The sequence below is a fragment of the Homo sapiens genome, chromosome 20, assembly GCF_000001405.40.
Source record: "Homo sapiens chromosome 20, GRCh38.p14 Primary Assembly".
Lineage (NCBI taxonomy): Eukaryota > Metazoa > Chordata > Mammalia > Primates > Hominidae > Homo > Homo sapiens.
Window position 1 is genome coordinate 45,417,480 of NC_000020.11, and position 9,098 is coordinate 45,426,577.

Here is a 9,098-nt window from a genome sequence, read left to right on the forward strand (position 1 = left end):
TCAGAGTCAAATGTTTCTAAAAATTTTTTGTAGAAACAAGGTCTCACTATATTGCCCAGGCTGGTCTCGAACTCCTGGGTTCAAGCGATCCTCCTGCCTCAGCCTCCCAAAGTGTTGGGATTACAGGCAAGAGCCACCACACCTGGCCTCATTTTTCAAGAGATACCAGAAATCTGGAATTTAATGTGAAAATTGGCAAATTCAAATATCAGCAAGTAATTTAAAAATTTTTTGAGTGCTGTGCGGGTCAATGTTGTGCATACCAAATGAAGCATGTTTATGGTTTGAGTAGAGCTTTCCGGCTTCAAGTTTGCCATTTTTATTTGAGGCTTAAGGATTGGAGCAGTTGAAAAGCTCTGAACATAGAATTATCAAAAGCTCCTGGACAACACTAAGGAATAAGGAATAAGCAGTAACTCCCCAGCTTGCCAAGACTTTCTCTCTTGCCTCAACTCTGGCTCCCCTACCCTTTCCTGTCTACTCTGCTGTCACTGTCTTCCCTCAGCCCGTAATTGCCTGAAATGTGGAGCAAATGCTTAGAATTCTTTCTAGTGCTTATTAAGTTTTATGCTTTCTCTATTACTGAGAGCAAATCTCTTTTGATATTTCTCCAAGAAAAGAACATTAATTTAATTTGATGTTTTTATGAAATCCTAGAACAGTTGTTTTTCCCATGTTCAGTGAGCTTTTTTGGATATAAGACTTCTCACCATGATAGTAGAATCAGGACTTACCTTTATTCCCAGAGTATACACAGGGTAGTATGCATTGTTTTGCCCAGCCCAGCACATTCAAGGAAGATCAGTGAGCTCATTTCAGCTCTGATACATGAGGCGCTTTCCATGGTGTCAGGGGAAGTACATAGATGACCCAGACTGGTCCTTGTCCTCAAGTTGCTTACAGCCTAGTTAGGGAGAAAAGGTGGTCAGGACACGATGCTGCTGCCACCTAGCCATCTCCCAGGAGGGACCTAGTAAGATGCTTGGATGGTCAGAACCGTGACTGCACAGAGGAGACTGTGCTTAAGGAGGGCAGGAAAGGCTTCGTGGAGGGGAGGTAAGCACTGGAGCCGGATCATGAAGGTAGGCAGAAAGAAGTTAGCAAAGGCTTGCAAGGAAGGAAGAATCACCTGAGCAGAGACCCATGGGGATGCAGAGATGTCCAGAGGAGAGTGAGGAAGAAGGGGCTGAGTAGGATGAGACCCAGCAAGTGGGCTGGCTGGGGGCAGCAATGTTCCAGCTCCATCAACTGGCCCGTCTAATAGTTAAGAATACAGCCTCCTCCTATCATAGGTTTAGCAGCCAGCTGTGGACTTTGAAAGAGGGAGCAGAGGTAGCCCCAGGACAGTGAGTGGATTTGTGTCTCTATCCAGTGTGGATAAATCTTGGAAGGAGCTCAGTAATGTCCTCTCAGGGATCTTCTGCGCCTCTCTCAACTTCATCGACTCCACCAACACAGTCACTCCCACTGCCTCCTTCAAACCCCTGGGTCTGGCCAATGGTGAGATAACCCCTACAGCCCTTTCCTTCTTCCTCTTACCTCCTGCCCAAACCTTTGCCTCCTTTTCCCTCAGTTTCCTGCTTCCTCAGCCTGGGCTAGATCCTAAGTCCCCTGTGTGTGCAGGCCCCCAATACTGTGCCATCTCTGCATGCCTTTTCCCAAGGAGAGAAGGGAGTCCTACTCCCAGTTGGGACTGTCCAGACTGTGGTGCTAGAGGTGGTGTGGGGAGCAGGAGGGTCATTCCCATCTCTGGAATGTGGATCCCGAGGGGTCAGAGCCCAAGGCCCACCCCAGACAGACCTCTGTCTCCCTCAGACACTGACCACTACTTTCTGCGCTATGCTGTGCTGCCGCGGGAGGTGGTCTGCACCGAAAACCTCACCCCCTGGAAGAAGCTCTTGCCCTGTAGTTCCAAGGTGAGGCCGCAGAGCCTGGCAGCCGGGGGCGGGGGGTGTATAGAGAACCTGCGCCCCATGCCAAGTGCTCCATACAGGGCTTCTCTTATCTCTTTCCATCTCCTCCAGGCAGGCCTCTCTGTGCTGCTGAAGGCAGATCGCTTGTTCCACACCAGCTACCACTCCCAGGCAGTGCATATCCGCCCTGTTTGCAGAGTAAGTCATGGGGAGTAGAGGAAGCTGCCATCCAGGGGCTCAGAGAAGGTACATGTAAAGCATGTGGTCAGTGTCTGGCTCAGGCTGAGTGAGTACTGAGTGGTAGATGTGATGACGGTTATTCAGGGCATTGGCCAAGCACCAAGAAAACAGTGGTTGCCTAGCAAGCACTGAATAAATATTTGTCATGGAAAATAGTGGTTCAGAACAATAGCTATGCGGGTGCAATTGCTAGCTCAGTCACTTGCCAGCTGGCGTAACCTTGGGTGAATCATTTCATTCCCCTGAGCTTGGTTTCCCACCCTGCCACATGACATTGATAGTAGAATCCACTCCTAGGGTTGTTGTGATAGTTTATCAAACTGATGCACATACAGCTGTCAGCACGGGGTCTGGCACGAGGTCAAGTGCTCAGGAGTGGGTGGTAGCAAATCGATGGATGTGAAGATACATAGATGAGGGATTGAGTCTGAGTAGGAGTCTTTTTGGGGGCTGTGTGGTGAGAGTGATACCCCCTCACTGCTGCCATCTGGCCCTTGTGATAGAATGCACGCTGTACTAGCATCTCCTGGGAGCTGAGGCAGACCCTGTCAGTTGTATTTGATGCCTTCATCACGGGGCAGGGAAAGAAAGGTAAGTTACCTTGGCAACTCATCTGTACCCACCCATGCCAGCCCTGCCTTATCTATGTGGACTAGGCCTAGGCCTGGCCCCTGCTCAGCCCTGCGCTCTGTTTCTCAGACTGGTCCCTCTTCCGGATGTTCTCCCGAACCCTCACGGAGCCCTGCCCCCTGGCTTCAGAGAGCCGAGTCTATGTGGACATCACCACCTACAACCAGGTAACAAGGTCTCCAGCCACACACACAAACACACCGCTGGTCCCCAGGACCAGCCTACCCTCTCTGCTTGCTTCTTAGCCCTGCCTTTGTGTCCCCAGGACAACGAGACATTAGAGGTGCACCCACCCCCGACCACTACATATCAGGACGTCATCCTAGGCACTCGGAAGACCTATGCCATCTATGACTTGCTTGACACCGCCATGATCAACAACTCTCGAAACCTCAACATCCAGCTCAAGTGGAAGAGACCCCCAGAGAATGGTGAGTGGGTGGTTGGTTGGACTGCTGGGTTGCAACGGCTACAGAGAAAAGACTCACAATCCCACGTCTTTGCCGTTAGATGATTGGGTTGTATTTAGACCAGATTTCCAGAGTCATATGCTGCTGACTGTAGCTATTCCAAGCTCTACGATTTTGGGTAGGTTCCTAAACTCCCCAAGCTTCAGCATCCACATCTGAAAAATAGAGTATACTTAGCAAATTGGATGAGATGATGTGAAAAATGGAGTTAGTTCATGCATTTGCTTAATCAACCAAATACTTTTGAATTCATACTAAGTGCCAGGCATAGAGTGTTGAATAAGACAGAGGACACTGCACTCAAGAAATATAAGTCTACTAGCTAGGGCAGGTGTCAGTTAATTAATTACAGTTGTGTTCAGTTCCCTTACCAAGGGAAAGAGCAGAATATCCTGAGAGGACCTGGATTGGGTTCGAAGGGGGCACGGTGTTCGTCACGTAAGCACTTCAATACTAGCAACCTATTGTCATCATCGCTTGTTGGCTGGGGAAGACAGGGATGATTCCAGAACCCAGATTGCCCAGTTTCAGTGGCAGGGCTGTTCCCCATCTACTCACTGGCTTGGGACTCTGAACATGGCCTGGGCAGGTGGGGTGGGGAGTGATTCTTACCTTTGGCAGCTGTTAACTGTTGATATTTCTTTACACAGAGGCCCCCCCAGTGCCCTTCCTGCATGCCCAGCGGTACGTGAGTGGCTATGGGCTGCAGAAGGGGGAGCTGAGCACACTGCTGTACAACACCCACCCATACCGGGCCTTCCCGGTGCTGCTGCTGGACACCGTACCCTGGTATCTGCGGCTGTATGTGCACACCCTCACCATCACCTCCAAGGGCAAGGAGAACAAACCAAGTGAGGACCTGAGTCCTGAACCAGGCCCCCAGCCCGCCCTCTCATGTCCTCTCCAGGTCCCCCAAACTCTCATTTCCCAGGGTAGTTCCTGAAGTACCTCTGAAAAGCTACACAGGCATAAAGAGTAAGGAATAGTTTCTCAAAACTGGAACGGGAGCCTCACTGTGCCAGGTTCAGAAGTAATTTATAAAACAGCAATAATTAAAACACATAATACTGGTGATTCTTAATAGGACTGTACAAGGACAGTAGCTTCCTTTTTCACTTACTTTTGCCTCCTTTCTGGAGCATTGGGTTTTGTGATGATTCATAGACTCTTTAAGGTAGGGAAAGGGTTTGGCAACGTTAGGCTTTTGAAGCTAGGAAGATAGCAGAGCTGGAGTAGATGGTGTTTTGCTTCCTTGGGAGGGGTAAAGAGGTACAGTTAATTAAATTTTTTTATTTCTATTTTTATTAAAATTTATTTTTATTTTCTATTATTTTTCTAAGGAGAAGATAATATTAGTGCTTCCTATTAGGTGCCAGGCATAGCACTAAAGCACTTGCCTTTCTTTGGTGTAGGGGGAGACTAGTAGTAAAGTAAAAGACCTCTGAGGAAGAGGTTGTACCATATCCCAAACGGCCAAACTTAAAAACCTTTCAGTACTTTAGTTGATTCCTATATTTTCAAACATACGGTGAATAGTTTCACTTATTTTCAGCACCATTATTTGTACCACCTTCAAAATCTCTATTTCAGACATCCTAACTGCATATTCTATAGGTTTTTCTGTTATTATTCTTTTAAATCTTCTCCTTTGGAAAATTTCAAACCCAAACCCAAACAGAATAGTGTAATAATCCCCTGTACACACCCTGCAGCCTTTTTTTTTTTTTTTTAAGAGACAGACTGTTGCTCTGTCAGCTATGCCGGAGTGCAGTGGCATGATCATGGCTCATTGCAGTCTCAGACTGCTCGGCTCAAGCAATCCTCCTACCTCCGCTTCCCTAGGACTACAGGCATGAACCGCCATGCCTTTAATTTTTTCACAGAGGCAGGGTCTTGTTATGTTGCACAGGCTGGTCTCAAACTCCTGGCCTCAAGCGATTCTCCTGCCTCAGTCTCCTAAAGTGCTGGGATTATAGGTGTAAGCCGCTGCCTGCTGGCATATCTTAAAGCAAATCTTAGACATTGCATCAATTAACCTTTAAATACTTTAAGGATTTTTAAAAATGTAACCGTATCATTACCACTTCTGTTTTCCCCTGTGGTCTTAAAAATGTCTTTTTATAATTGGTTTGTTTAAATTGGGATAAACAAGGTTCTCACATTGCATTTGCTTTATACTAAGTTCCTCTCTTGGGTGGGCACAGTGGTGCACACCTGTAATCTCAGCACTTTGGGAGGCCAACACAGAAGGACCACTTGAGTCCAGGAGTTCGAAACCAGCCTGGACAACATTGTGAGGCTCCCCCTACCTATACAAAAAAAATTTTTTTTTTTTTTTTTTTTTTTTTTTGAGACGGATCCTCACTCTGTCACCCAGGCTGGAGTGCAGTGGCGCGATCTTAGCTCACTGCAACCTCCACCTCCCGGGTTCAAGCGATTCTCCTGCCTCCACCTCCCGAGTAGCTGGGACTACAGGCGCGTGCCACCACGCCTGGCTAATTTTTTCTGTTTTTAGTAGAGATGCGGTTTCACTGTGTTAGCCAGGGTGGTCTCGATCTTCTGACCTTGTGATCTGCCCGCCTTGGCCTCCCAAAGTGCTGGGATTAAAATAAATTGTTTTTAATTAGCTGGGGGTGGTGTTGCACGCCTGTAGTCCCAGCTACTCAAGAGGCTGAGGTGGGAGGATCACTTGAACCCAGGAGGTCAAGGCTATAGTGAGCCATGATCATACTATTGCACTTCAGCATGGGCGACAGTGTGAGACCCTGTCACGAAAAAAAAAAAAGTTTCTTTTTCTTTAAAATTACTAGACTATTCTTAGAGCAGTTTTAGGTTTACAGAAAAACTGAGCACAAAGCACAGAGTTCCCATATACTCCCTGTCTCCACACCCAGAATGTCCCTTATTATAAATGTCTTGTCTTTGGTGTGGTACTCTTCAGTCTCTCTTCATCTGTAGCAGTGCCCATGCCTTTTTTTTTTTTTTTTAATGTCATTTATTTGTTGAAGAAACTGGGTCATTTGTTGTGTAGAATGTTCCACATTCTGGGTTTGTCCTTGTGCTAGTGTTTAACACACCCCTCCTCTCCTATATTTCTTGTGTGTTGGTGGTTAGATTTAGAAACCTGATTAGATTCATGTCCCACATTTTTGGCAAGAAAAATTCCCAGGTGGTTCTGTGAACTTCTTCTTGCGTCACATCAGGCACTTGGTGTCTGGTGCCCCAGTTGTAGTGATGTGAAGATTGATTAGCCATCTGCAGCACTCCTAACAACCTCTCTTGATCGCATCCTGGGATCACTGCCCTGGAAACATCCTCTCCCTTTTCTTAGCCCCTGCTTTCTTCCCTTGCCTGCCTGGCTTCTATGCTCCCAAGCCCATCTTCTAGGCACCCAGATTGAGGCTCCATGGCAAGCAGCAGGGACAGGGGCAGCAGGTAGCCTGACCCCAGGAAAGAGATGTGGGTGACCTTGCATGTCTCCAGGTTACATCCACTACCAGCCTGCCCAGGACCGGCTGCAACCCCACCTCCTGGAGATGCTGATTCAGCTGCCGGCCAACTCAGTCACCAAGGTTTCCATCCAGTTTGAGCGGGCGCTGCTGAAGTGGACCGAGTACACGCCAGATCCTAACCATGGCTTCTATGTCAGGTGGGCTCCACCCCCACAGGCCACCTCTCATCCCCCTGACCTACCCTTTCTGCTGCTTACCCCTTGATAGGGCAGCCAGATGGGAACACGGGCCATCTCTCTGCTTCTCTGTAGCCCATCTGTCCTCAGCGCCCTTGTGCCCAGCATGGTAGCAGCCAAGCCAGTGGACTGGGAAGAGAGTCCCCTCTTCAACAGCCTGTAAGTGTGACCACACTCACTGATAACACATCCTCAGCTGCCTGCTGGGCCTTAACACAGGTGACCAGGCTCCTGCAGGGGAGTTCAGGGTAGATGTTACATCTTCCAAAGAGATGTGTAGATTTAATTCAATCCTAATAAAAATCCTGGCAGTCTGTGGAATTTGTGAAGACTTTATAAAATGATTTTAAAGTGCTTCTAGAAGAATACTTTTACTTACAGCCTACATTTACTTCTTGATGCTCTTAAATATTTAATCAAGCACTTATCAAATGCCAAGTGCTTCTGAGAGCACTGAGTGTGCAAGATTAAACAAAACAGACTTGGCCCTGGCCTCCCTTTGCTTACAGTCTAGAAGGAAGATTCTGGTCTAGAGAGTAATGGGGTTAGAGGTTGGGTAGGAATTGATTTACTGGGTTATCTAGGAAGGCTTCATTTAGGAGGTGGCATTTAGGCTGAAACCAGGCTAAGAAAGAAGCAACCAAGCAAAGGCGGGGCCCCTTTCCTCCACCTCAACACCAGGCGTCTCTCTTTCTTTCCTTTCTCTCTCTTTCTTTCTTTCTCTTTCTTTCTTTCTTTCTTTCTTTCTTTCTTTCTTTCTTTCTTTCTTTCTTTCTTTCTTTCTTTCTCTTTCTTTCTTTCTTATTTATTTTTTATTTTACTTTAAGTTCTGGGATACATGTGCAGAACATACAGGTTTGTTACATAGGTATATATGTGCCACGGTGGTTTGCCGTACCCATCAACCCATCATCTAGGTTTTAAGCCCCGCATGCATTAGGTATTTGTCCTAATGCTCTCCCTCCCCTTGCCCCCCGCCCGCCGCTCCCCTTTATCAGGTTTAGAGATTGAGCTATGCCTTCTGTTGAAAGGTTTTGAGCCTAAGAGAACATTGGAAACACTGTGTTGCATTGCCCAATACTGCCGGAATGAGGATGGGGTGAGATGGGGAGGAGCAGCCAGTCCTGTCTCACCGCTCTTCCCCTGACCCCAGGTTCCCAGTCTCTGATGGCTCTAACTACTTTGTGCGGCTCTACACGGAGCCGCTGCTGGTGAACCTGCCGACACCGGACTTCAGCATGCCCTACAACGTGATCTGCCTCACGTGCACTGTGGTGGCCGTGTGCTATGGCTCCTTCTACAATCTCCTCACCCGAACCTTCCACATCGAGGAGCCCCGCACAGGTGGCCTGGCCAAGCGGCTGGCCAACCTTATCCGGCGCGCCCGAGGTGTCCCCCCACTCTGATTCTTGCCCTTTCCAGCAGCTGCAGCTGCCGTTTCTCTCTGGGGAGGGGAGCCCAAGGGCTGTTTCTGCCACTTGCTCTCCTCAGAGTTGGCTTTTGAACCAAAGTGCCCTGGACCAGGTCAGGGCCTACAGCTGTGTTGTCCAGTACAGGAGCCACGAGCCAAATGTGGCATTTGAATTTGAATTAACTTAGAAATTCATTTCCTCACCTGTAGTGGCCACCTCTATATTGAGGTGCTCAATAAGCAAAAGTGGTCGGTGGCTGCTGTATTGGACAGCACAGAAAAAGATTTCCATCACCACAGAAAGGTCGGCTGGCAGCACTGGCCAAGGTGATGGGGTGTGCTACACAGTGTATGTCACTGTGTAGTGGATGGAGTTTACTGTTTGTGGAATAAAAACGGCTGTTTCCGTGGTTCTTTGCCTCTTGTCCTTGAGTCCTGGGAAGAGCTGGGGACTGGGGATTGTTTGCTGAGTGCCTGAACAGGACCTCCTACCCTATGCCTGCAACCCCCTCCACAAAAAACAAAAAACCCTACCTCCTCCCACCTGGCCGGAAATTTCTTCTCCTGATCTGCTCCCCCTGTCCTCCCCATCCCCATCTGATTGTGATTCCCAGAACTCCCCGGGTTGTTTGGGAGTGTTTCTGAAAGCATAATCCATGGCCATGGAAATGAATCATCCTACTTCTTGGGGGCATTGAGAGTCAGTCCACATCAGCAAGGGTAGAGTGGAGAGGTGGGAGGGCTCT

General features: G+C 48.2%; 1 protein-coding gene, 1 long non-coding RNA gene and 1 other non-coding gene across 11 annotated transcripts in view, besides 1 other annotated feature; 2 read left to right on the forward strand and 1 right to left on the reverse strand.

Moving 5' to 3' along the window:
- The window catches only part of LOC107985405 (uncharacterized), a 7,809-nt gene extending 6,905 nt beyond the window's left edge, over positions 1-904 (reverse strand). Inside the window, exon 1 of the long non-coding RNA XR_001754640.2 lies at positions 735-904. This is a non-coding gene — a long non-coding RNA (uncharacterized LOC107985405). The remainder of the gene's footprint in view (positions 1-734) is intronic.
- Positions 1-8,762, forward strand: part of PIGT (phosphatidylinositol glycan anchor biosynthesis class T) — a 10,101-nt gene extending 1,339 nt beyond the window's left edge. For 3 of the 9 annotated variants that reach the window (NR_047691.2, NR_047694.2, NM_015937.6), the window contains 10 exons: positions 1,373-1,500; positions 1,816-1,916; positions 2,025-2,111; positions 2,657-2,744; positions 2,853-2,950; positions 3,049-3,214; positions 3,904-4,104; positions 6,737-6,902; positions 7,017-7,100; positions 8,095-8,762. Coding sequence is in view for 4 of the 9 variants with exons in the window: in NM_015937.6 (NP_057021.2) it covers positions 1,373-1,500; positions 1,816-1,916; positions 2,025-2,111; positions 2,657-2,744; positions 2,853-2,950; positions 3,049-3,214; positions 3,904-4,104; positions 6,737-6,902; positions 7,017-7,100; positions 8,095-8,347 (1,372 nt within the window). In the remaining 5 variants the exon portion in view is untranslated. Of the gene's footprint in view, positions 1-1,372; positions 1,501-1,815; positions 1,917-1,993; positions 2,112-2,656; positions 2,745-2,852; positions 2,951-3,048; positions 3,215-3,903; positions 4,105-6,736; positions 6,903-7,016; positions 7,101-8,094 lie in introns of all 9 variants that reach the window. The other 6 variants (NM_001184728.3, NM_001184730.3, NR_047693.2 and 3 more) reach the window with 5 other exon arrangements.
- Positions 2,131-2,190: an enhancer, noted in NCBI's record as "active region_17951". NCBI's record gives its function as "activates an Ori minimal core promoter by ATAC-STARR-seq in GM12878 lymphoblastoid cells {active_cell/tissue: GM12878}" and the evidence as "EXISTENCE:reporter gene assay evidence [ECO:0000049][PMID:35858748]".
- On the forward strand, positions 8,031-8,094 carry MIR6812 (microRNA 6812). Its single transcript, NR_106870.1, has one exon. It is a non-coding gene; the product is annotated as a microRNA 6812 (primary transcript).